The sequence below is a fragment of the Homo sapiens genome, chromosome 17 (genome assembly GCF_000001405.40).
Source record: "Homo sapiens chromosome 17, GRCh38.p14 Primary Assembly".
Taxonomy (NCBI): domain Eukaryota; kingdom Metazoa; phylum Chordata; class Mammalia; order Primates; family Hominidae; genus Homo; species Homo sapiens.
This window is the reverse complement of record NC_000017.11, coordinates 73,018,423-73,045,812: the sequence shown is the minus strand read 5'-3', so window position 1 is coordinate 73,045,812 and position 27,390 is coordinate 73,018,423. Positions and strand designations below refer to the sequence as shown.

Below are 27,390 nucleotides of genomic sequence, written 5' to 3'. Positions count from 1 at the left end.
CATCACTCTGTGTTTTTTTGTTGTTGCTGTTGTTTTTTAAGTCTGCATGGAGTTAACAATTTTGGCAAACTGAAGGTTTCTGGGAGTCTTTCTCATCTGGCTGGTCTGGATCTGCCTTGAAAGGACCAAAGTAATGAGTATACTTGCCATTTCTATTATTCAGAGTAATGGGTTTGTAGAAGAGGAACATTGAACTCAAACAAAAAAGCCTAAGCGTTATTAGACTGGAGCACAGCAGTCTTACATTAGGTGTAGCTGAGATCATTGCCAATGGGAGCTCCAGTCCAGCTGGGCATCTCACTCATGGTAGTTGCTTAGTAAATGTTGGCTGAGCTGAGTTGCACTTGGAAAAAAAAGAAATATAGGAGCTTAGTTTTGGAGCAGGACTGGGCATGGAGGCTTTTTTTTTTTTTTTTTTTTTTTTTTAACTCTGTTTTCATGGCACTGGAGGTAGAATTAGGTGACTGGTCAATAAATTTGAAACCCAGGTATGTCTTGGATGGTTGCCTTGCTGTATGGAACTTATTACTGTCTAGGACTTCACCTGGGGGACCTACAGTCACTGAGAATGGATGCTGGGAGGTCCCTTTGGGTATGACTTCCATGCTGGTTTAACACTGCTGGTACTTAGAGTTTGAGAATGGGCCTGGGCCTTGTCAGGTACTTAGTGACTGTACCCAAGGCTACCCCAGAGAGGCCATTTTAGGATAGACCCCAGAACCTGGATACCCAACATGCTGTCTGTGTAGCAAATGTGGCTCATCAGAATTGGGGGAGCAGGTAGCCTTTTTGAGACTTAAAAACCAGATCTAATACATATACAATATGCCCAGATCTTAAAGTGTCAGCCCAGTGAGTTTGGTCAGTGGTGTGTATCTGTATAACCACCACCCAAAATGAGAGAACATTTCTTTTCTTTTTTTTTTTTTTTTTTCTGAGACAGAGTCTTGCTCTATCACCCAGGCTGGAGTGCAGTGGCGTGATTTTGGCTCACTGCAACCTCCACCTCCCAGGTTCAAGTGATTCTCCTGCCTCAGCCTCCTCCTGAGTAGCTGGGATTACAGGTACCCACCACCATCCCCAGCTAATTTTTGTATTTTTTGTAGAGGTGAGGTTTTACCACATTGGCCAGGCTGGTCTTGAACTCCTGGCCTCAAGTGATCCACCTGCCTCGGCCTCCCAAATTGCTGGAATTACAGGCATGAGCCACCATGTCCAGCTGAGATAGAGAACATTTCTAACATCCCTGAAAGAGCTCCTAGTCCCTAAGTCAGGCTCCCTCCCAGCCACCAACTAATGACTTCTAACCACAGAGTAGTTTTGCATACCCTTGTGCTTAAAAGGAATCGTGTAGTATCCATATAGTTTTTGTTGTTTGTCTTCTTTCACTCCGTGTAATGATTTTGAGATTCATCCAATGTCGGCATGATAGTAGTTTGTTCCCTTTTATTGCTAAGGAGTATTTCATTTCATAAATATACTACAATGTGTTTATTCATTCTCCTGTTGATGGACATTTGGGTTATTTCCAGTTTGGGGCTACTGTGAATAAAGCTGCTGTGAACATTCTTGTGCAAGTCTTTGTGTGGACGTATGTTTTCATTTCTCTTGGGGAACAAGGAGAGGAATGACTGGGTCATATGGTAGATTTTTTTTTTTTCTTATTTAAGCAAAAGTACTTTTTCCTAGTTTGGAGATTGTAAGCCAAGCTCCTGCCCATCATTATCACTGGGTAGGCGTAGCTAAGAAGAGTCAGGTCATTCAAGCCCATCTACGTTAATTAATAACTGTAATTGAAGCTGAATGTAATTGATTATAATTTTGAGCCGTTGGGTTTAATTCTGTAAAATTATTTAAAGCTGGTATATTATGAAGGCTTCTTGATAAAAGCAAATTAAGTACAGATATAGCTCCCATATGGATTTGATTCATACTGAGTCATGATTAATAACTGACATGCCAAATTTAAGGCTGACTCAATGCAAAATTCATGTGGCCGCTCATCATGGGTTTCTGATTGACTGACTTGATATTGAACAGACATGGGCAGCCTCATTCTGGAGGGTTACCTGCAGATTCCTTCCTTCTTCCAAGTTTCTCTGTCTGCTCTCTGGTCTCCTGCCCTGTGTCACATCTGGATTATGTCCAGAGCCCAACAGCTGGATGTTGGTGTCCCATCTCCCCACTTAAATCAATTCTGCTTGCTGATGCCAAGTTACCCTTCCAAAATGCCTCCGTTACCCTGCCGAAGACAGTGGGTACTTAATGCTGACCTGCTCCATGCTGGCTAAGCTGCTGCAGCATCACGTGTGAGGCTTTAAAACACAGTGTCCATACCCCTGCCCTGGCAAATCTGTTTCTGTAGGTTGTGGAGGGGAGCTGACATCTGTAGCTTGAAAACTCCAGGTTGATTTTATAGTACAACCAGAGTTGGAAACAAGCCACCCATTGTGTGAAGTCCAAACCATTCTGCCTGGTTTCATCATTATACCCAAATGTCTGGTTGTAAACTCCTCCCTGCCTTCTTTCGCCTTGTGGACTCCACAACATAAGCCTCTGTGTACTTGCCTCCAGACTCTGCCCACTCTGCGCTTCCCAGCTAGAAAGTTCCTAACCTCATTTCCTTTCCAAATTGTGTCCAGCCTTCCAGAGCCCCTCCCTGTTCTTTGATGTTCTGCTTTTTAAATTTTGAAACAATATTGGTATCCCCTTTCTTGGCATGACTGCAGACTTTCTTAATTTATCCTATCATATGTCTTCTGTAGCCTCTCTTATTATAGTCCAGAGCCAGCTCCTGGAGGCAGCGCCCAGATCCACACTAGCTCTTTCTTCCTCTCTTGCAACCCCCTGGGGTCTGGCAGAGTGTTGGCCGTGTAACAGTCTCTGCTTAGGAATTGCTGATTGACTTTTAACTGTTAATTTTATATCTGATTTGGAGAACAACTTGGAGACAACTCTTGGCTTCTGTACTTTCTGGGTAATTCTTCTTCTTATTATTATTATTCATTTTGAGACGGAGTTTCACTCTTGTTGCCCAGGCTGCAGTGCAATGGCGTGTTCTCGGCTCACTGCAACCTCCGCCTCCCAGGTTCAAGCAATTCTTACTGCCTCAGCCTCCCAAGTAGCTGAGATTACAGGTGCCCGCCAACATGCTCGGCTGATTTTTGTATTTTTAGTAGAGATGGGGTTTCACCACGTTGGCCATGCTGGTCTCGAACTCCTGACCTCAGGCGATCTGCCTGCCTTGGCTTCCCAAAGTACTGGGATTACAGGCGTGAGCTACCATGCCCAGCCTCTTTCTGATTATTGCTTTGACCTACATGGATTGCAAGTTTGTGTGTCCTCCTTAAGTACACAGTAACCTCCTTGAGGTTAGAGTCTATGTTCCTTTGGTTCAATAAACATGAGGGAGGATCTGCTCCATAGTAGGCACTGAGTTGGGTGCTGTTCTTTTGAACTGTGTCTTCCTGTCCTACCTCTGTGTACCTTTTTAGAGGTGTGAAGAGTTGACACATTCAGTGCATTGTAAGTGAGCTATGTGCAATAATTTTCTTTCCCCTATTTGTTACGAGAAAAATTTTGTTTTGTGGCTTGGATTTTGTTTTGGTATTGAAACTGTCACTACTATAATAAAGGAAATGCTCAACTGTACCCATCGTGCCAGAATATTCTGATGTATCCCTTAACTCTTCACAAATTCATTTCTATTGCCAGAGCTGAAATTCCTTCAAAATGAACACTTACACAGAAATGGAAAGGTTTGCCTAATGTGGGGTAGGTGTTAAGTTGATTTTTTTTTTAAATCATTCTATGCTGGTACCTCTGACACCAGAGGGAAATTAATAGCATTATAAAGTACAGATCCCTGGGGCATTTTGCATGATATTTTGAGAAAAGAGATCGGATTATGAGCCTTTCTAGGTTTTGAGAACTACAGGAGGGAAACAGGGATTTTGTTCTCAGGGACTATGAAGAAGAGCTTGTAAATATCTGGTGATTTTAAATGTTTTCTCCAGTCCCTTTCAGCCTTCTGCTGTTAAGGCTGTGATTTACAAGCCTTCCACAAATGCACAGTCCAGGTGGGTGTTAAGGTTATCATGCAGAAACATTTCTGAAAATTGAGTTTTTGTACATAGGATTCTTTACTCGCATTGGATTTTCATTGTGAAATCAGGGTGAAGATGTGGGAAGATGCTGGGTGCCCCCATTCCAGCACATAAACTATCACTTTTTCTCCTGTTTTCAGCCTGGTATCCCCACCCTTAGCTGGGCTGGGGGTCCTGCAATGTCTGGTGGGACAGTTGCCTGGCTGCCTGGGGTACAGGAGGAATCTGGAGTTTACTTGCTTCTTACCCAGGCTTCCATCAGGTCTCTTTTAGGCCCATCTGCACACTCATTGTCAAAGGCTCCCTGGCTATTCTGGGGCTTTGTGGGATGAAGCACCTTCCTTCTAGTCTCTTCCTTCAGCCCCAGGTGGCAGCCTTCTTGAGCATCCATCAGCGATTACCTGCTTCTCTCTTCAAGCTTCCAAAATGTGGCTGCCATGTCCTCTTCCTTTCCTTCTGACTTTGGCCTTTGGATCCTTCATATCCCTGTACCTTTACTCCAGTGAGAATTTGGAAGCTTGTGTTCCATTGGCCATGTTTAATTAGAAGCCCTACAACGTACATTCTGTGATATTCCAAAGTGGACTAGGAATTTCACATTAGTGTAGTAAACCTTTGAAAATTAGATTTAGAGGGGAATTATTCTCTGATTGGATATACTGAGTAAGTGATACTGTTAATACTGTTTTTTTTTTTTGTTTTTTGTTTTTTGTTTTTTTTTTGAGATGGAGTCTGACTCTGTTGCCCAGGCTGGAGTACAGTGGTGTGATTTTGTCTCACTGCAACCTCTGCCTCCTGGGTTTGACTGATTCTTCCACCTCAGCCTTCCGAGCAGCTGGGACTACAGGAGTGCATCACCACACCTGGCTAATTTTTGTATTTTTAGTAGAAACAGGGTTTCACCATATTGACCAGGCTGGTCTCAAACTCTTGACCTCAAGTGATCTGCCCACCTCAGCCTCCCAAAGTGCTGGGATTTCAGGCATGAGCCACCGTGCCTGGGCATGTTATAATCATTAACTTTTAATAAGCTCTTTATTTGGAAGTATTTTAGATTTTAAGAAATGTTGCAAAAATAATACAGGGAATTTCTGAATAGTGCCCTTCATCCAGTTTCCCCCAATGTGAACATCTTACATAAATAATCATGACACATTTGTCAAAGCTAAGAATTAACATTTGTTTGTTACTATTCCCTAAACTCCAGACTTTATTTGGATGTCACCAGTTTCCCCACCAATGTCCTTCTTCTGTTCTCAGATACCAATCAGGATACAAACTGCTTTTAAACTGTTCCTATTTTAAAGTGTAATTTACAGCAGAGGGAGGCGTACCTTTTATTCAGAGACTTAGACCAAAAGTATAACATCTGTATGTTTTGTTTTGAAATCCCCAACTTTAGCTGTGCTGCTGGGAGGGGATTCTAGTGTGACTTACAAAATTGCTTGTTTCTCTACCTACTTCTAAGGAAGTCATGGGATATTAATGGGTTTAAGTTTGTGAGGTTTGATTTATCTTTGTGAAGCAAGTATTTAACAGGATTATTAGCCCTGTTCATTAGTGGCCACAAATTTTCTAGTGCTGGGTTTTCTTGGAGTAGTTTCTATCAGAATATCGGGGAATGCTATGGGATCGATTGCATTCAGTTATTGCTGACACTGATTCATCTCGGACTTCAGCTTTGGGATTCCTTCCCTGATAATGGGGGAGGTGGTAACTTAAACCTGGCCTTTACTCTGTAGCCCGCAGAATTTCTTACAAGATTCTGAGTTGTCAAGTAGGGGTAGAGGGTAGCACAGTCAACTTGGGACAGACCAGCTTGCTCTGGGGCTTTGGGAAAGCCACTGAATCTCTTTGGTGTCAGCCTTTTCTTCTGTTAAGTGAGGTTTTTAGATTAAATGGTCTCCTAAAGTCCCCTTTGACTCTAAGTGAGTCTGTGATTCTATCAGTAGACTTCAGTAGATTATCTGTGAAGCTTCGAAAATTCTGCGTTGGCCCTTTTCCACACCCATGAAAATCTCAATTATTTTAAACAATTACTCACCCCATGTTTGTGAAAGGACAGAAGGCATTTGAGTATGAGTCTGTATAATACTTAATTTGGAAGCTAAAAATTACTGTAAAAATTAGGCATTAGACCAAAAAATGGGTGTTGAATCACTTCCTGATCATGCGTTCTCATTTCTCCACCCTCGTTCCTCCCCTTCATTAGCAAGGATGACAGAGAATGCGATTAGGCAACAAATGTTGAATAGTCGCTCTGTCCAGGACTACTCTGATGGGGGTGCCAGGTACAGAGATGCTTAAGGCACAGCACTCTCCTGGGCATGTGCGACGTTCTGGGGGACATGGACACGAGTGATGAATCTAGTGTTATGGAAAAGAGCCGCCTTAGAAGTGGGGTATAGCGCAAGATGGGAGGAGGAAGAGAGGATGTCTGCAGAAGGCATACGGGGAGAGGGATGAATCCAAAACAGCACTGACCCGTTGCATATTTCCTGCTGGGAATCGGGTTGGGGTGGTATTTGCATTGACTCTCAGGATTCTTAGGACAATCCTGTGAAATGTACCATTTTCAGGTGACAAAACTGAGCTGCAGAAGAGAGCTTAGGTTATTTGACTGGGGCTACCTAACCAGTAAGTAGCTGAGCCAAGATTCAAACTCGGACTTGATTCTAAGTCCTGCATTTTCCCATAATAAATATGGACTTGGGCAAAGAGTTGAGGGTGTTCGGAAGAAGGGGCATGGGAGATGGGTCTTGGCGTTTTGGTGTTGTCACAGATTGAGCTGCTTAGGCCAAGGTGAGGGAGCAGAAGAGTTCAGCAACAACCAGGGGCAGTAGTACAAATGGGGTCCCTAACGGTTGGGTAGGCCAGTAGTCTCAACCTCAACTCGTCCCCTCCCCTCCCTCCCTCCTCCCTCCTCCCTCCCTCCTCCATCCCTCCTCCCTCCCTCCTCCCTCCTTTCTTTCTCTCTCTCTCTCTTTCTCTTTTTCTTTTTCAACAGAGTATTGCTCTGTCGCCCAGGCTAGAGTGCAGTGGCTCCATCCCAGCTCACTGCAATCTCTGCCTCCTGGGTTCAAGTGATTCTCCTGTCTCAGCCTCCCAAATAGCTGGGATTACAGGCACCCACCACCATGTCTGGCTATTTTTTTTTTTTTTGTATTTTTAGTAGAGAAAGCGTTTCACCATGTTGGTCAGGCTGGTCTTGAACTCCTGACCTCAGGTGATCCGCCCACCTAGGCTTCTCAAAGTGCTAGGATTACAGGCGTGAGCCACTGTGCCCAGCCTATACTCAGCTTCTTAAATATCACCTTGCCTGGGAATCACTTTGTTCAGCATTGAGACTTCTGAGCCCTGTGGTAGACCTACCAAACCAGCCAAAGACTGAAGTTAGACTTTCAATCCATTCTCTTTTGTTTTTTCATTTCCTCCTTAGCCCTTTTGCAAGAGTTGTTTTTGTTGGTTTGTTTGTTTGTTTTTGAGACAGTTTCTTGTTCTGTCACTCAGGCTGGAGTACCATGGTGTGATCTCAGTTCACTGCCACCTCCGCCTCCCGGGTTGAAGTGATTCTCATGTCTCAGCCTCCCGAGTAGCTGGGATTACAGGTGTGTGCCACCATGTCTGGCTAATTTTTGTGTTTTTTAGTAGAGACGGGGTTTCGCCATGTTGGCCAGGCTGGTCATGAACTCCTAACCTCAGGTGATCCGCCTGCCTCGGCCTCCCAAAGTGCTTGGATTATGGGCGTAAGCCCCTGTGCCCTGCCACGAGTTTTCTTTTGCTATTGAAATACTCATCCTTGAGCTTCTTTCATTATTTAGCAAAAGAAATTGGGCTGCTTTGGTCTTAGCAACATTTAACTTGGAGGATGGGCCCCACCCAAACCTTCCCCCTGGCTTCATTCGATTGGGTGGGCTTTTCATTTTCATTTCAGGAATAAAGAGGCAAAAAAGACTTTGGGGGTACAGCGAGGCCCCTGCCATGTGTGTTGAAGCTGATTATGGATTCCTTTTATAGACAAAGGTGAGGAAAAGGAAGATGCCAACCATCAGCTCCTTACGGTTATACCTGGTGTCTTCAGCGATGGCCCTGTTAGCCCACTTGTTTGCCTTTACAGGCGGGGTCACAGCTGCAGAAGGACTTTTGTTCTCTACCATCCGGGGCTATGAAGGGACTGGCTGGCAAAAGTATTCCCTGAAGTCTTGGGCCTGGTACTCAGCACCTTCTCCTCTGTGGCCTGCCCGTTCCAGGCCCTGCTTCTTAGGGATAGTTGAGAGGTAATCAGATACCCTGCTTTCTATTCCTGCACCAGCTAGTTCATATGTCACTACACCCAGATTTAAAAATGCCTAACATATAAAGGAGCATTGCTGATGTTGAGAGTTTCACCTCCCCACCTGTGCTGGGGGATTATTTAAAAAGTGATGCTTATCATAGGATCCAACAATTCCACTCCTTGGCCCTTATTTACCGAAATGAATGGAAAACTTCCAGTCCACACCAATACCTGCACACGGGTGTTTATAGCCACTTTATTCATAATCGACAAAACTCAGAAGCAACCAAAAAGTCCTTCAATAGGTGAACAGATAAACTGTGGTACATCCAGACAATAGAATATTATCCAGTGCTAAAAGGAAATGCTTTATCAAGTCATGAGAAGACATGGAGGAATCTTAAATGCATTAAAAACCAAGTGAAAGAAGCCAATCTGGAAAGGTTCCATGCTGTGTGATTTCAACTATAGGACATTCTGGAAAAGGCAAAACTATAGAGACAGTGAAAAGGGATTTCCAGGGAATAGCGGGGAAGGAGGGATGAATAAATAGGTGGAGCACAGGGACTTTTTAGGGCAGTGAAAGTATATGATACAGTAATGATGGATACATGATATTATATATGTGTCAAAATCCATGGAATGTATAGCACCAAGAGTGGACCCTAATGGAAACTATGGACCAGCTGGTCGTGGTGGCTCATGCCTGTAATCCTAGCACTTTGGGAGGCCGAGGCAGGTGGGTCACCTAAGGTCGGGAGTTCGAGACCAGCCTGACCAATATGGTGAAAACCCATCTCTACTAAAAGTACAAAAATGAGCTGGGCGGCATGGTGGGCACCTGTAATCCCAGCTGCTCAGGAGGCTGAGGCAAGAGAATTACTTGAACATGGGAGGCAGCGGTTGCAGTGAGCTGAGATTACGCTACTGCACTCCAGCCTGGGTGACAGAGTGAGACCCTGTCTCAAAACAAGCAAAGAAAAAAAACAAAAAACAAAACAAAAAAACGATGGCCCTTCGGTGTTAATGCCATATCAGTGTGGGTTCATCAGCTGTATCAATTGTACCACTGTGGTGTGATGTTGATAGTGGGGAAAGTTTTGGGTATGTGGGGACAGGTAGGCCTATGTCAGAATTCTTGGTACTTTCCACTCAATTTTGCTATCAATCTAAAAGTGCTCTAAAAAATAAAGTTTAAGAAAAGTAACATGTGCCTGTATTAATTTTCTATTGCTGTTGTAACAAACTACCATGAATGTAGTGGCTTAAAACAGTGCAAATTTATTATCTTACAGTACTGGAGGTCTGAAGTCCACAGTGATTTTAACTGGGACAAAGTCAAGGTGGCAGCAGGGCTGGGTTCCTCTTGGAGGATTTGGAGGAGAAGTTGCTTCCCTGCCTTCTCAGCATCTTGGGGCCACCTCCCTTCCCTAGCAGATGGCCTTTTCTTCATCCTCAAGCCAGCAGCATGGCATCTTTCAATCTCTTTCTGACTATAGCCTCTGCTTTTGTTATCATATTTTCTCTCTGATTCTGACCCTTCTTTTTTTTTTTTTTTTTTTTTTTTGAGATGGAGTGTCGCTCTGTCACCCAGGCTGGAGTGCAGTAGTGCGATCTTGGCTCGCTGCAACCTCCGCCTCCTGGGTTCAAGTGATTCTCTGGTCTCAGCCTCCTGAGTAGCTGGGATTACAGGTGCCTGCCACGATGCCCGGCTAATTTTTGTATTTTTAGTAGAGACAGGATTTCACCATGTTGGTCAGGCTGGTCTCAAACTCCTGACCTCACGACTCTGACCCTTCTCACTCCTTCGTAAGGACCCTGTGGTTACATTGGTCCCACTCAAATAAGCCAGTATCATCTCCCCATCTCCAGGTCCTTAATTTAATCCCATGTGCAGAGTCCTTTTTACTTGTAAGGTGAAATATTCACAGGTTTTAGGCATTAGGATACAGTCGTCTTTTCTACCCCACTCGCCCTTTAAATAACTTTTTGGCCGGGTGCGGTGGCTCACACCTGTAATCCCAGCACTTTGGGAGGCTGAGGTGGGCAATCACTTGAGGCCAGGAGTTCGAGGCCAGCCTAGCCAACATGGTGAAACCCTGTCTGTACTAAAAATACAAAAATTAGCTGGGCGTGGTGGCTCATGCCTGTAATCCCAGCTCCTTGGGAAGCTGAGGCACAAGAATCTCTTGTACCTGGGAGGCGGAGATGGAGGTTGCAGGTCACGCTGCTGTACTCCAGCCTGGGTGACAGAACGAGACTCTGTCTCGAAACAAAAACAAAAACAAAAACAAAAAACAAAAAGAATTTTGCTTTGGGTGCTTTTTTCATTTTAGACAGGCAACCCTATTCAATTTCCCGATTGTTCTTTGGTGGTTTTCCAGTTTGTGTGTGAGGCAGGGAGGCTCACAAGGAAAAGAAATGAAGGAAATCCAGCTGGATCCTAAATTTGACTGGAAAGATAAAGGGCAGTGATTCTCAAGAAGGGGGCTTACCTGAATCAGCTGGGATGCGTTTGCATTGCAAGCATCCCAAATTCCAACACACCCTCCCTTGAGAGACACTTCTCTTCTGCTCCTGCTCCTTGAATAGCTTGTGGATTGTGTGCTTCTCATGTGTAAGGGCAGAAAAAAGGTTGGTACTCAGTGATGCAGAGGGATGGAAGGAAATGTGGACAGAAGAGTTTGGACCTGGGGTTGAAAAGGAGATGAGAGCAGAGGTTGGGGACGTCTCTCAAGTGATGCTGACAGCGATGTTATGTTTTTTCATCGGAGTGCAGGGTGGGGAGGATTTAGAGGGTGAGATGAGTGGGCTTACTTGGGCCATGTGGTTTTAGAGTTGTTGAAGGTGGGACCGTATGGGAGAACCAGAGAAGCTGCTGCACAGGTCAGGTTTAAAAAGAAGAATTGGGCCAGTAGCAGTGGCTCACGCCTTTAATCCCAGCACTTTGGGAGGCCAAGGTAGGCAGATCACTTGAGGTCAGAAGTTCGAGACCAGCCTGGCCAACACGGCAAAACCCTGTCTCTACTAAAAATACAAAATTAGCCAGGTGTGGTGGCAAGTACCTGCAATCCCAGCTACTTGGGAGGCTAAGGCAGGAGAATTGCTTGAACCTGGGAGGCAGAGGTTGCAGTGAACGGAGATTGCACCACTGCACTCCAGCCTGGGTGACAGAGACTCTGTTTCAAAAAATGCAAAGAAGAACGGGCACCTTTCCATCTCTGTGTCTTGTTGCAGGTCCTCTTCGATGGGGAGTTTACCATGCAGGGCAGCTACTGAGGGCTGTTGAATTCTAAAGCTAGTAAGACAAAGTCTGGAAAAGGGGTGGATTAGGCTGTAGCAGGGAGGGGGAGCCCTCACATTTCCTTTGATGGTCTTTATTGACAGCCCGGCTCATGGAGTTGAACGGATCAGCCTCAGCTCCCATCCTGTTGAGCAGAGGCATTTTCATTCTTAGAGTTTTGGAGGCTTTTGCAGGTTTCCATGGGTGGCACTAAGACTTTTGCTGGGAGAATTTGGCCCAGAGCAAGTGACTGTGCATGTTTGACAGCTGGAAGAAGGGAATTTATGGATTTATGCTTGGATTTGTTCTTTATTGTTGCTGTTGTAATACCTGCTTCTGTCACTCTGAGTGTTATTTTGAAGATGGGTGATGCAGATGATTTTTTAAGGCAAGGCATAATTAAGTAATTTTTAGAAACCCATTCAACATTTTCTGTGTCGGCGATGACTGCCGTATAGTTACGATGGGTGGTGGGTGTACTCTAGCCAAAAGATGTCATAGCATCTGTAAGAGTAAACAGCCATGGATGAGTGTTTAGTTTGGTCAGTGCTGGAGAGCTTCTTATTTTTAAGAGGCAGAGTCTCGCTATGTTGCCCAGGCTGGCCTTGAACTCCTGGGCTCAAGGCTCCCCAGTAGCTAGGACTACAGTCATGCACCACTGCGCCAGCTCATCTCCAGCAACTATAGTCATGCACCACTGTGCCAGCTCATCTGCTGGAGAACCTTTTATTGAATTGACTTTGCTGAGATTTGAGACTAGCCTAATTTTTTTTCTTCTCCTTCATGTTTCTACCGTCATTGAGTTGGTTATGGTCCTGCTTGGTCATTTCCCTGGATCTGCTACTTACTGCCTATGGCAGAGGTCCCCAATCCCCGGGCCATGGACCAGTGCTGATCCATGGCCTGTTAGGAACCAGGCCGCACAGCAGGTGAGCAGCGGACAAGTGAGTGAGGATTACCGCGGGAGCTCCGCCTCCTGTCAGACCAGTGGCGACATTAGATTCTCATAGGAACGTGAACCCTATTGTGAACTGTACATGCCACGGATCTAGGTTGTGAGCTCCTTATGAGACTCTAATGCCCGATGATCTGAGGTGGAACTGTTTCATCCCAAAACCACTGCCTGGTCCGTGGAAAGATGGTCTTCCATGAAACTGGCCCCTGGTGCCCAAAGGATTGGGGACCGCTGGCCTGTAGGACCATGAGCAAATTACCTTATTATTTCAAGATCCAATTTCTTTATCTACAAATCGCAATAGAAAACATCATCTGCCTCTGGGGTGGTTGTGATGAAAAGATAAGATATCAAATGTAAATCTTGGCCCTTGGAAATACCAAGTGATCAATAAATATTAGTTCCCTTCGTCCTTTTTAGAGATAATTGATGAGACCAATATGACGTTGACTTGCTGGTTATCTTCAGATATTTCAGAGGCTGTCACATATCACACAGGAGGGACACAGTTTTTGGTGTTCTAGGGAGCAAAACCACAGCTAAAAGGTAAAAGTGGAAAGGAGACAGATTTCAGCTCAACATAAGAAAGAACTTTGTAATAATTAGACCTGTGTTACAATACAGTGGAACTCGTGAAGTAGTGAGCAATTTGTCTTGGAAGAATTTAATTAAAATAGGATTTTTTGGGCTGGGCATGGTGGCTCACACCTTTAATCCCAGCACTTTGGGAGGCCGAGGTGGGTGGGTCACCTGAGTTCAAGAGTTTGAGACCAGCCTGGCCAATATGGCAAAATCCCATCTCTAAAAAATACAGAAAAATTAGCTGGCTGTGGTGGCACACACCCATAATCCCAGCTACTCAGGAGGCTGAGGCAGGAAAATCACTTGAACCCGGGAGGTGGAGGTTGCAGTGAGCCAAGATTGTGCCACTGCACTCCAGCCTGGGTGACAGAGAAAGTCTCCATCTCAGAAAAAAAAAAAAAAAGAATAGGAATTCGCAACAGCATTCTCATTGACATTTGGGGCCAGATAATTCTTTGTTGTCAGGGGTGTGCTGTGCATTGTAGGTTGTTTACCAGCATGCTTGGCCTCACTCATTAGATGCCAGTAGCAACCTCCCCCTACGCTCCTCCCAGTGTGACAGCTAAAAATGTCTCTAGTCATTGCCAAATGTCCTGTGGAGGGCAAAACCATTGCTGGTTGAGAACCACTGAATTATAGGCTAGATGATGGCGAACTGGACTGCATCCTCCCAAGGTCAACTCTATCCTACCCAAAATTGAGTTCTTGCAATAGTAAGCTCCGGGAATTCTGGGGATGGCTTTTTGGTTTCTGATAGTACCTCCCAACCTGGGACGAAAGACTGAACTCATGTGAAATTGTAGGGGTCAATCTGGGCCACAGAGAGCAACTGAGGTCCTGCCTGGAAAGCCTTCTGCAGTTGCTTTAACGTTTATCTCTCGTTGTGGTTTTTGTAGGTCATGTTGGCAGCTTCCTATTGGTCTCTTCTGGCCCCAGCAGTTGAGATGGCCACGTCCTCTGGGGGCTTCGGTGCCTTTGCCTTCTTCCCTGTGGCTGTTGGCTTCACCCTTGGAGCGGCTTTTGTCTACTTGGCTGACCTCCTGATGCCTCACTTGGTGAGTACCACTCTACTTTTAGCTGTCGTATCGGGATACAACCAGCTCTGTGCAATGAATTTATTTCTGATCAAACCTGACATACCTGTTAATGTCTCTGTTAAGTAGCCAGTGGTATTTAAACAGAGAACAAGGCATTAGAGGAACTGATCGGTGATTTCTTTCTTAAAGTAATGTCTTGGTAATTACCCCCTTATTTACATTTTAGTAAGTTCGGATTTTGAATGTCACATTTCATTAAAAATATAGAGTACAGCTGATGTGCTGGGTGGCACTGTATATATATGAGAGGACCTAGAACGATCACTGTGGTGCTGGGTTTTATTGAGAGTATGACATCATCAGGGAGATGATACTCCCGCCCCACCCCCACAATCTGTAGCATTAGGCCTTTGACCATGGATCACATTATGAGGGCTGACAGGAGGGTGAGGCAGGGCTCTGTGCAGCAGGGGTCTGGGCTGGAGCTCACACCTGCCATTTACTGATTGTATATCCCTGAGCTCTAGTTTTCCATCCTTTAATTTGAGGATAACTCCCCCGAAGGACTGTACAGTAAAATTTTAAAAATGTAAAAATGCACTGGAATTGGGGATAAGCCAGAGATTTCAGGCTTTTTTACTGACATATGGCAGGAGAGCTGGATTTGGGAATGAGCATGTATGTGCTTACAGGGAAGCACCGTGCAAACCGCAGCCTGGCATGTGGCTGTGATCACCGAGCCAAGAGAGCTGGGGCCAGGTCATGCGATGGGAACCGCAAGCCATTGGCTAAAGCCCTGTCATCTGCATGCACCACTGTCAGTAGAGGAAAGGGGTCCAAGATCATAACAGCATGAGACAGCCTTACCAGACACTGGGCCCGACAAGTTCTAGAGATGGCAGAAGCACCCCTGAACTGGTGCCAGAGTTCCCTGCTCCCCTAGAAAGGGAAGTGGTGCAGGGAGAACTCTCTGGAGAGAAATGGGTCAAAGTCCATTTCTCCTGCTGGATCACGGTGAGACAGGATTAAGTCAGACTCACTGGAGTCAGTGGTCATGTACCCCGGGAGGTAGGTAGGTTGAAGTTCTCTTCCCTGCCTTCCTGCTTTCTTTTTTCCTTAACTTCCCAAGTGGAGAAAGAGAAGGAATGATGGGTGATTCTGTAACTATAACGATTCCCAGGAACTATGCCTCTAGGTCCTGGGCTAATGTAAAACAGATTCCTTGTGTTACAGAAGAACTGTCCTTTGGATCAGACAGCTGAATGTGATGTTGGACGGCTGTGATACTGTCTTAAAGCAGAGGTCCCCAACCCCCCAGACCAAGGACCGCTACTGGTCAATGGCTTGTTAGGAGCTGGGCCACATAGCAGGAGGTGGGCAGCCAGCTGCCAAGTGAGCTTTATCTTCTGAGCTCCGCCTCCTGTCAGATCAGCCGTGGCATTAGATTCTCAATGGAGCACAAACCCTGCTGCGAGCTGCGCATGTGAGGGATCCAGGCTGCGTGCTCCTTAAGAGAATCTAACTAATGCCTGATGATCTGAGGTGGAACAGTTTCATCCCCAACCCCCTACCCCGGCCCCTGTCCATGGAAAAACTGTCTTCCACAAAACCAGTCCTTGGTGCCAAAAAGGTTGGGGACCACTGTCTTAAAGACCATGTGTCATTTTTTGTTGTTAAAAGATTGAGTGACATGGCTGGGCACAGTGGTTCATGCCTGTAATTCCAACACTTTGGGAGTCTGAGGCGGGCAGATCACTTGAGGCCAGGAGTTAGAGACCAGCCTGGGTAACGTGGAGAAACCCCATCTTTACTAAAAATACAAAAATTAGCTGGGTGTGGTGGTGCGCACCTGTAATCCCAGCTACTCAGGAGGCTGAGGCATGAGAATCGCTTGAACCTGGGAGGTGGAGGTTGCAGTGAGCCGAGATGGTGCCACTGCACTCCTGCCTAGGTAACAGAGCAAGACCCTGTCTCAAAAAAAAAAAAAGATTGAGTGGCCGTGTCTGTCTCCGTCCCCTGGACATGTGGCTTCCTTGCTGCCGACTATGTGTGGTAGTGGCGTCCAGTGGCCCTCAATGCAGGCTGCCATATTCTGATCTCAAGGCCACCCTGGTTTTGTGTGAACTTGTTGTTGGAGTGTATTCTGCTTGCCCTGACAGGTGACCAGTGGCTTCAATCCCTGAGCAGCAGGCAGAGATCTGGCTCAGTGGCTCTGCATGGCTCCTGCTGGATCCCATTCTACTCTTCTCTCCTGCACCCAACTGGGCTTCCAAGATAGTCTCTTGGAAAGGACTCTGCAATCCTTGTGGGTCTTACTATGTTACTGGGGAGTAGGGGTGGTGGGGCGGTATCAGATGTATTTGGTCAGCTGTCTGAATGTAGGGATTTTCTCTGGGCGGTGTAAACAGTCATTGGCTAATTTGCACTATGCAGCAGTAATTTTTTTTTGTGTGTGTGTGACGGCGTCTCACTCTGTCACCCAGGCTGGAGTGCAATGGCGTGATCTTGGCTCACCGCAACCTCCACCTCCTGGGTTCAAGTGATTCTCCTGCCTCAGCCTCCTGAGTAGCTGGGATTACAGGCACCTGCTGCCATGCCTGGCTAATTTTTGTATTTTTAGTTGAGATGGGGTTTCACCATGTTGGCCAGGCTGGTCTTGAACTCCTGACCTCAAGTGATCCTCCCACCTTAGCCTCCCAAAGTGCTGGGATTATAGACATGAGCCACCGTGCCCGGCTGCAGCAGTGTTTTTTTTTTTTTTTTTAAACCTTTTGGTTCATATTTGTTCTAATATATGCTTTGAATATGGAGGAGATCCCAGAGGGAAGCCCTGGATAGAATCAGTAATGGTTTGGGAGCAGCTGGTGAATGTCTGGGGAGGGATTGCAGCAGCTCAGAAACAGACATCATCACCACAAATGCCCAGAACCTCACTACTTGGCAGAAAGGTCAGCCTGACAGTAAACATCTGTTCTAGGAGATTTAAAAAGAAATGAATTCTTGCTGTCGATGTGAGAGGGGGAATTTGTCTTAGAAGGTCTCATACATGGATGAGAATTACTTATGATTGCTACAGTCAGTGAATACAAATGTTGTTGAAAGAGTTGTGCTTGGAAACAGTCTGTTGACCTTCACTCTGAGGCTGGCCAAAGGTTTCCTTTGGTTTCACTATTAATTTGCTCACCAGACCTGAAAAGGGCAGCAGCTTGGATCTATCGAAGATGCTCTGTGGGGTCGGAGTTAATGGGTTTTGATCTTGAGTCGTTGCGGTTGGCCAACATCGACTGAGCACCCACGCGTTTATAGTCTAACAGGGTAGGAGCAGGGCTAGAATTTGTGTTCAGGATGTTTGCCCTTCTTGGGATCTATGAACCAGTGGCTTTTGAGGCTGTGGGAAGTTTTGTGGGTAAATTCAGCCCCAGATCATTTCAGTTCCTGATTCATTCCCCTGATGATGGAGTCCCACAATTCAGCGGATGGCCCCAGGAGCAGAATGAAGGCAGAGGAAAAGCCTTTGGCTGCGGTTCCGACCAAGGGGCTCTCACCCTTTGGGACGGGCCCCAGGATGTAGGGGGCCTGTCTGCAGAAAACCTCAGGGTCTCCTTTCTATCCCCTGGGGACACGTCTGCTTGGAGTTTGTTGGGGTGAAAGGAAGTGGGTCAGTGTCTGTGTTATTTCACCTGGAGAAATAAGGAGATGCGGAAGTCTGGAAAAGGCAGCGATATGGCTTGAAGGATTCTGCAGCAGTGCCCTGATTTGACCCTTGCCCGTGACCATTCAGGCACAGGCCCCAATGCCTGGGAGCGTCAGAGCCACCCACCCTGGTTATATGTGTTCGGGACGTGAAGGGCATCACACTCTTGGGTTGGTGGGAAGAGAATGGTTAACACATGACTGTGTTCTTTAACTCCATTTCTGTTCCTTCAGCCTTTCAGATTTATCTGTCCCTCTGTTGGAGGCAAAGCAAAATATTGCTCATGGAAAGGGCATTACTCAGAAGAGCCTGTCAGGATGAAGCCGTTGTGGCTTTGTTAACTTCAGATGCCTCAAGTTCCTCTCCAAACTGGGTGTTTGTTTTCAATTATTTATCTGGGAATAAAGTAGAGAAGCTCTGCGGTAACTGTTAATGGGAAGTGAACTGACAGGGATTTGCAGAGACTTTGCCAAATGGCGTCTTAATGAAAGGGGAGAAAAAAAGGGGGTGGACAAGGAAGGTGCAGCCTACTGGGCCTGGGAGGAGGCTGGTGAGGGGTCGGATGATGGGAAATGCTTTCGAGGCCAGCTGGAGCCCATGCTCCCCTTAGGATGGTTCTAGGCAGAAACAGACAGGACACTGAACAGCTGTTTGGAGACATTGACATGTTTCTGATTTTGCAGTTGTGCTTCTATGTGAAGTTAAGGTATAGCAGTATGTGGGAAACTGTCATCTTCAGTTTATTATTGTTATTATTTGAGACAGGGTCTTGCTCTGTTGCCCAGGCTGGAGTGCAGTGGCATGATCGCGGCTTACTGTAGCCTTGACCTCCTGGGATCCAGTGATCCTCCCACCTCAGCCTCCTGAATAGCTGGAACCACAGGCGTGTGCTACCATGCCCGGCTAATTTTTAATTTTTTTTTGGTAGAGACAGGAGTCTCCCTATGTTGCCCGGGCTAGTCTTGAACTCCTGAGCTCAAGCAATCCTCCTACTTTGGCCTCCCCCTCTTCAGTGTTGGGATTATAGGTGTGAGCTACCACACCTGGCCCGCCTTCAGTTTAAAACAGTGATTTTTCTCCTGGTGGGTTGATGGGTAGGGTGGGGAGGAGGGTAGTGTGTGTGTGTCCCCAAGGTCAATTCTTTATTTTTAGTCATGTTAGCGTCGCATCAATACAGTACAAAAATCTCGTTATAAAACAGTTTATAAAAATTTTATGTGAAAACCCTTCTCCTACTTTTATCTTTTCCCCCAGACCAACCAGTCAAACATTGTTACCAGTTTAGCGGGTATCATTCTAGTGTTTCTCTTCTTTTCTTTTGTCTTCTCTTTTCTTTCTTTCTTTCTTTTTTTTTTTTTTTTTGATGTAGTTTCGCTCTTGTTGCCCAGGCTGGAGTACAATGGTGCGATCCTGGCTCACTGCAACCTCTGCCTCCCTCCCGGGTTCAGGCGATTCTCCTGCCTCAGTCTCCCAACTATCTGGGATTACAGGCATGCGCCACCATGCCTGGCTAATTTTGTACTTTTAGTAGAGATGGGGTTTCACCATGGCTGGTCTCGAACTCCTGACCTCAGGTAATCTACTCACCTCAGCTTCCCACAGTGCTGGTGTTACAAGTGTGAGCCACCACAGCCGGCTTTTCCCTTTTCTCTTCTCTTCTCTTCTCTTCTCTTCTCTTCCCTTCTCTTCTCTCTTCTCTTTCTCCTCTCCTCTCTTCTCTCCTCTGCTCTCTCTTTTCTCTTCTCTTCTCTTCTCTCTCTTCCGAGGTGGATCTTCCTCTGTGGCCCAGGCTGGAGTGCAGTTGCTCAATCTTGGCTCATTGCGACCTCCGCCTCCCGGGTTCAAGTTGTTCTCCCGCCTCAGCCTCTTGAGTAGCTGGGATTACAGGCACCTGCCACCGCACCTGGCTAATTTTTGTGTTTTTAGTGGAGACGGAGTTTCAGCATGTTGGCCAGGCTGGTCTCAAACTCCTGACCTCAGGCAGGCGGATGCCTGCCTCAGCCTCCCAAAGTGCTGGAATTACAGGCGTGAGCCACCACGCCCAGCCCCTTTTCCTTTTTTAAAGAAAACCAATGATACTGTGTTTTTTAATTATTGAAATATAAACACTTTTCCAATTTGCTTGTATTGTTTGAGTATACTTTAAATCGACTTTATAGCAGTAGGAACCCTGACTCCATTTCGATCTTCTTTTCTTCTGACTCTATTTCGATCTTCTTTTCTTGCATATGTGCAAGCATACATTTTTACACAGTTGGAATCAGTCTGTGCATTCTCTTTGTGTTATTTTTAAATTTGAAATGATTTTTATTGATGATATTTTAATACCTACGTAACATTCTGTCATCCAGTTCATTTGCTCAGCCATCTCTCCGTGGTTGAGTAGTTAGACTGCTCTGTGCTTTTACATATGTTTGCATGTACATCTGGAGATGGAATTTTGTTTCATGTTTTCTGAAAAACAAATGGCAACATACTGTCTGTGTTGTTGCTGCTTGCTTTTCGCAGCTTGGTTTGCATCTTGGCAGACTTTTTCCTGGGAGATGTGTGCTCCCCTCCCCCTCCTCTCCCTCTCTTGGTATTCAGTATCTTGAGGAGGCTGCCCAAGTAGGTAACAGGTGCCTGTGACCCTGAGGCTGTCTCCTCCACGTGGACTTGGCCAACAGTCCTGCCCAGACGGGCTCCAGGAGGGTGGGGGAGGCTGGCAAGCAGGGATCACCCTCTTCTCAGCTCCTGCCTTAATTTATCTGAGTCCTCAACCATGTTCAGTTTATTTTAGTTCTCATTGTGATGGCAAAGAAGATGCCTCTAGTGAAGCTTAAATGAACAGTGTGCGTGTGTACTTTGAATATGTACCCAGTTTTGGCCAGGCGCGGTAGCTCATGCCTATAATCTCAGCATTTTGGGAGGCCGAGGTGGGTGGATCAGTTGAGGTCAGGAGTTCAAGACCAGCCTGGCCAACATGGTGAAACCCTGTCTCTACCAAAAATACAAAAAAAAAAAAAAAAAAAAAAATTAGCTGGGCATGGTGTTGCGTGTCTGTAATCCCAGGTACTCAGGAGGCTAAGGCAGCAGAATCCCTTGAACCTAAGAGGCGGAGGCTTCAGTGAGCCGGGATCACGCTGCTGCACTCCAGCCTGGGTGGCATAGCAAGACTTTGTCTAAAAAAAAAAATGTACACAACTTTTACTGGTATCAATATTTGGCTGGCTGGAGCTGCTATTGAGAGAACAAATATGACAACTGTCTTAGAAGTGACAGATGTTCCAAGAGGCAGTTTTCCTCCCAGAGGTGTGTTTGCATGTATTTATTTCTCCTTCGTAGATTTCCTTCATCTTTAGCATTCTGATTCTAGTTCACGAAAGAATATCTTAGGGAATTAAAAAGGAGAAATGAAAAGAGTATCTCACAGAAAACAAAAAGGACAAACTTCAGCAGCAGCCACCTGAGAGTCTCTACAATAAGCCTGATATCGTCAAGTAAGCCCGACTCGTTTCGTGGGGACATTGAACAGTAGCCCTTTGCCCCATTTTTAGGATTGTGCTTTCTTATACTCTGTTGAGGCTCCAGATGGGCAATTCTACTTCAAGCTATATGCTGCATCCTGGGGTTGAGCTATTGTTGAAATTTCTGCCTGGCTGTAGAAAGCCTCTGGGGCAATAGCAGATCCTTCCAGTGTGGGGACACAGTTGTGCCATCTGAAGAGGGTGGCATGTTGGGTGGATTGGGCAGCCCCAGGCCAAAGAAGGTGGCAGTTCTGCAGTCGGACCTTTTACTTCACTGTCTACACATCTGTATTATTTCGCTGGGGCTGCCATAGCAAAATACTACATACAGGGTTGGCTTAAACAATAGAAATTTATTTTCTCACAGCTCTGGAGGCTGGAAGTCCAAGGCTAAGGTGCCGGCAGGGTTGGTTTCTTTTGAGGCCTCTCCACTTGGCTTGCAGATGGCTGCCTTTCCTGTGTGTCCTCACACAGTCTTGCCTCTGTGCTCACATCCCTGGTGTTTCTTTACGTGCCCAGCTTTCCTCTTTCCATGAAGACACCAGCCACATTGGACCAAGGCCCACCCAAACAGCACCATTTTGGGACCGGGTGTGGTGGCTCACACCTGTAATCCCAACACTTTGGGAGGCCAAGGTGGGCGGATCACGCAGTCAGGAGATCGAGACCAGCCTGGCTAACACAGTGAAACCCCATATCTACTAAAAATACAAAAAATTAGCCAGGCGTGGTGGCACACACCTGTAGTCCCAGCTACTTGGGAGGCTGAGGCAGGAGAATCACTTGAACCCAGGAGACAGAGGTTGCAGTGAGCCGAGATCACACCACTGCACTCCAGCCTGGGCAAGAGTGAGACACTGCCTCAAAAACACAAAACAAACAAACAACAACAAAAAAAACCAGCACCATTTTGATTGGACACCTTTTCAACTCTTGGGCTCAAGCAGTCCTCCTACCTTGGAATCCCACAGTGTTGGGATTACAGGCATTAACCATGGCACCTGGCCCATCTTCAGTTTAAAACGTTGATTTTCTACTGGCCCTATCTCTAAATACAGTCACATTATAAAGTATAGGGGGTTAGAGCTTTGATACATGGATTTTGGGGGGCACAATTCAGCCCAGGGTAACATCTTTTTTTTTTTTTAGGCACTGTGATTGAAAGATGGTAGAGTGGCAGGAGCTCAGCTGTTAGTTGGGCACTGGGCGTTCTGAACCAGTGGTCGCTTCCCTGACACTGGAACAGTGGGCTGGCTGGCTATGCCCTGAGGGGCATGGCAGGCTAAGGAATACAAATACACAGTACTAATTAATACTTCAGTTTCTAAGGGAGGAAACCTGTGAGCTTGCAGTAATGGAAGCGGTGCCTGATAATTCTGGGCTTGGGGAGGGTTGAGAAAGCTTATTGTTCAGAAGGGTTCACTGGCAAAGGAAAACTGAGTTTTTTTTTTTCTTTGTGAAACAGGATATTTTAATTCACAGGGTGGGGTTGCTCTTGACACACTGAAGCCACAGGCCCTTCATAGTGTGAAGTTTGGAGAGAGCTGGCATTCAGGCTGTCCTGGGTACCAAATGTATTCCCAGGGGCAACTGGAAGCCATGGTTAGCATTGTTTCTTCCACCTTTGGAGGCATTCCACAGCCTCCCGTGACTTTTAGGAAGATGTTCAGATGTTGTTTTGGGTCCTGCTGGCATGCAGACAGGCTGAAAAGGGGATGAAGGCAATTTCCTAGTATGGTGGGCTGGCCGATTCTTTTTTTTTTTTTTTTTTTTTTTTTAAGATGGAGTTTTGCTCTTGTCTCCCAGGCTGGAGTGCAATGGCGGGATCTTGGCTCACTGCATCCTTCGCCTCCCAGGTTCAAGCGATTCTCCTGCCTCAGCCTCCTGGGTAGCTGGTATTATAGGTGTGCACCACCATGCCCAGCTAGTTTTTGTATTTTTAGTAGAGACCAGGTTTCGCCATGTTGGCCAGGCTGGTCTCGAACTCCTGACCTCAGGTGATTTGCCCGCCTTGGCCCCTCAAAGTGCTGGGATTACTGGCATGAGCCACTGCACTCGGCCTGCTGGCTGATTCTTAGAGAAGACAGCAGTTTTGACCATTCTGTGGATGCCTGCAAGTGCGCATTTAGGTGATGGGAATGCATGCCATGAACTCTCTCTTTCTTGCCATATGCTCTCTTGGTTTTCTAGGGCAGCTGGTGAATACTGTTCTATGCATTTGTATGCCCATGTGTGTTAGCTGTGTACACAGTCCTTGCTCATTGAGGCTGCAGGAAAAATATCTGTGGCTTTGCAGTCAGTGGCACAGAGCATTTCAAGCGTGTCTGCTCTCTGGCTTTTGACCAGGGTTCAGAAACCCACCTCTGTTGTCGATATATATTCCCGGAGGACCCCGTGGGTCTGGCACGAACACGCGCGCACACACACACGCACTGCGTGGGCTGGCTTGCTGAGGGGAACTCCTTAAGCACGGAATGGTTCTTGTTCTTGGTCTAAGAGTGGTGGGGAGTCTTGAGTGCAGATAGGCTTGGTTGGAACCTTCTAGGACTTAGATTTCCTTCTCCGTGGGTAGAACACCTTTTCATTTGTTAGGCCATAAAGTTGTAACTGGATACCTGTCCTCTCTTGCTGTCTCTTGAGCTCAGCCACATGTTTATGAAAAATGCCCAGAAGCCACCGTGGAAGCATATTGAACCAGTCGATAGCCGAGGGTGGCAAAGATGATTATGAGTATGGAAGGGGAAAGAGGCTGGGAGCGGTGGCTCACGTTGGTAATCCCAGCACTTTGGGAGGCAGAGCTGGGCAGGAATTCATGACCAGCCTGGCCAACATGGTGAAACCCCGTCTGTACTAAAAATACAAAAGTTAGCCGGGCATGGTGGTGCCTGCTTGTAATCCCAGCTACTTGAGTAGGGCTGAGGCACAAGAATTGCTTGAACCCAGGAGGCAGAGGTTGTAGTGAGCCGAGATTGCACCACTACACTCCAGCCTGGGTGACAGAGCAAGACTATGTCTTAAAAAAAAAAAGAAAGAAAGAAAGAGTAAGGGAACTGAGTATGCATCTAATCTTCACTGGATCCCTTCTTCTTGGCAAAGGTGACTGGGACCGTGTCTGTCTTGCTTATAACCGTACCCCTAGCTGGGTGCTCCATAGAGCAGGTCCTGGTCATGCCTGCGTGGTCCATCTCCTCTGGGATTGATCGTGGTGCTGGTAGTGTTGATGCAGGTCCCCAGGCTCAGGAACCAAAGTTGGAGAGTTAGATAAACAGTTCTGGCTGGTGTCAGGGAAGAAATGAGAAGTGAAGTTTGGGGGTAGAGATGTAGTTTGGCCAATTCATGGGAGGGAGGGAGTTCTGTGAAAAGCACTGGAAAGCCAAAGCATTGTTCTCTCCGGGCTGGGCGTGGTGGCTCATGCCTGTAATCTCAGCACTTTGGGAAGCCAAGGCAGGTAGATCACAAGGTCAGGAGTTCGAGACCAGACTGGCCAATATGGTAAAACCCTGTCTCTACTAAAAGTACAAAAATTAGCCGGGTGTGGTGGCACGCGCCTGTAGCCCCAGCTACTCGGGAGGCTGGGGCAGGAGAATTGCTTGAACCCAGGAGGCGGAGGTTGCAGTAAGCCAAGATTGCACCACTGACTCCAGCCTGGGTGATAGAGTGAGACTCCGTCTCAAAAAAAAAAAAAAAAAAAAAGAAAGAAACAAAAAGACCCCCCAAAAACCCAAAAGCATTGTTCTCTCTCACATGGTCCCCTGGGGAGGTCATGAACAGTATAAGCTGAAGCAGAAGTTCTTTTCAGATTTCACTTGGTTTCCTTTAGAAATACTGCTCCATGTAAAAGTCAAGGCAGACATCAGCTAAGTGGGTTCCTGCTATCTAAATTGGCTTGGGCTGCCATAAAAAAATACTGAAGTCTGGCTTAAAGAACAGAAAAATATCAAGGTGCTGGCAGATTCAGTTCCTGGTGAGGGCTCTCTTTCTGTCTTGCAGATGGCCACCTTCTTGTGTTCTCACATGGTAGAGAGAATGAGAGAGGGCGAGCTCTCTGATGTCTCTTCTTACAAGGACACTAATCCTATTATGAGGGTCCCATCCTCATGACTTCATGTAACCCTAATTACCTCCAAAAGCTTCCCATCCCACTGGGGCTAGTGCTCCAACAAATGAATTTTTTTCGAGGGGACACAAATATTCTGTTTGTAACACCTGATATAAAGAATGCGAGGACATTCTGTCCCGTCATCTTCAGTACATAAAGGGCTCTGAATATGGTGAAAATTTTCCAAACATAACTCGAAATGGACACTTTTCTAGATAGAAGGAGAAGGAGTGTGATTCTTCAGTTTTATTCTCAATGAAATTAAGTTATAATACTTTTTGTCCTGAAGTCTACTTTGTCCTGATATTAATATAGTTACTTCTACCCCAGTTTCATTTTGTTAGTGTTTCCTTGGTATATCTTCTTCCATTTCTGTACCTTTACCTGAGTCTTTATATTTAATAAACAACATAACATTGTGTTTTACTTTTTCATCTAGTCCAAGGATCTCCGTCTCTTAATTGGAATGTTCAGTCAATTTATATTTAATATAATTACTGATGTGATTGGGTCCGTGACTACCATCTTACTATTTATTTTCTATTTATCCCATCTATTTTATTTTGCTCTTTGGTACCTGCTTTCCTGCCTTCTTTTGGGTTAATAAAATAGTTTTTAGTATTCCATTTTAGTTTCTTTACTGGATTTAAAAATGTATCTCTTTGTGTTATGTTTGCAGGTTGCTGTAGGGATTACAGTTTCCTTAACTTATCATGGTCTACCTTGAATTAACATTGTAATGGTCCATCATAGTCTACCTTGTAATTGTCTTATCATAGTCTACCTCGAATTAACACTTCATGTATGATATAAGAGCCTTAATAGCACTATACATCTATTTATCCCTCTTTGGTTCATACTATTTTTGTCATACATTTTATTTCTTCACATGTCATAAATCTTTAGTACATTGCTATATTTGCTTTAACAATCGGTTGTCTTTAAAAGAAACTTTAAAGTGAGAAAAAGTCTTCATATTTTCTCAGCCTTGACTTTTCCATGTACTTTCATTTTCACTGCTTTTCAGTGACAGTCCTCAGTAGACCCATATTTTTATCTAATATTATTTTTCTTCCATCTGGAGAACTACTTTTAATATTCATTATAGCTTAGGCCTGCTAGTGACAAATTCTCTTAGCTTTTATTTATCTGAATACATTTTTATTTTGCCTTCATTATTTGAAGAATGTTTTCACTGGATATAGAATTCTAGGTTAACAGTTTTTTTGCTTTTAGGACGTTGAAGATGAGATTCTAAGGTCCTCTGGCTTATGTTGTTTCTGATGAGAAGTCAGCATTGTTCTCCTATATGTAATGTGACTTTTTCTATGGCTGCTCCTAAGACTTTATCATTAGTTTTTAGCATTTTGACTCTGTTATGCCTTTGTGTGGTTTTCTTTATGTTTATCTTTCTTGATTTTTTTTTTTCTCCCAGTGATTAGTAACATTTTCTTGTTTCTTCTCATGTCTAGTAATTTTTTATTGTATGCTGGACAGGGTAATTCCTGTGTTGTTGAGGATCTCTATTTTGTTGTCTTTTCTTAAAGAAGTTTGAGTGTTGTCATGGCAGGCAGTTAATATGCTTGATACTCCCAAGTCTTGGTTTTAGGCTTTGTTGGGATGGATACCCTTTATCTGAGGACTGCAATAGCCCTATTTTTGTGGTTAATTGTGCTTCTTGGGTCTATAGATTGATTTATTTTATTTTTACTTTATTGTTTTTTTTTGTTATGGAGTCTTGCCGTGTTTCCCAGGCTGGAGTGCAATGGTGTGATCTTGGCTCACTTCAACCTCTGCTGCCTAGGTTCAAGTGATTCTCCTGCCTCAGCTTTCTGAGTAGCTGAGATTACAG

At 45.5% G+C, this 27,390-nt stretch overlaps 1 protein-coding gene across 35 annotated transcripts in view; it reads left to right on the top strand.

Moving 5' to 3' along the window:
• SLC39A11 (solute carrier family 39 member 11) overlaps positions 1-27,390 on the top strand; it is a 446,740-nt gene that overhangs the window by 46,876 nt on the left and 372,474 nt on the right. For all 35 annotated transcript variants that reach the window (XM_017024335.2, NM_139177.4, XM_006721757.3 and 32 more), the window contains one exon: positions 14,099-14,257. In XM_017024335.2, the coding sequence (XP_016879824.1) occupies positions 14,099-14,257 (159 nt within the window). The remainder of the gene's footprint in view (positions 1-14,098; positions 14,258-27,390) is intronic.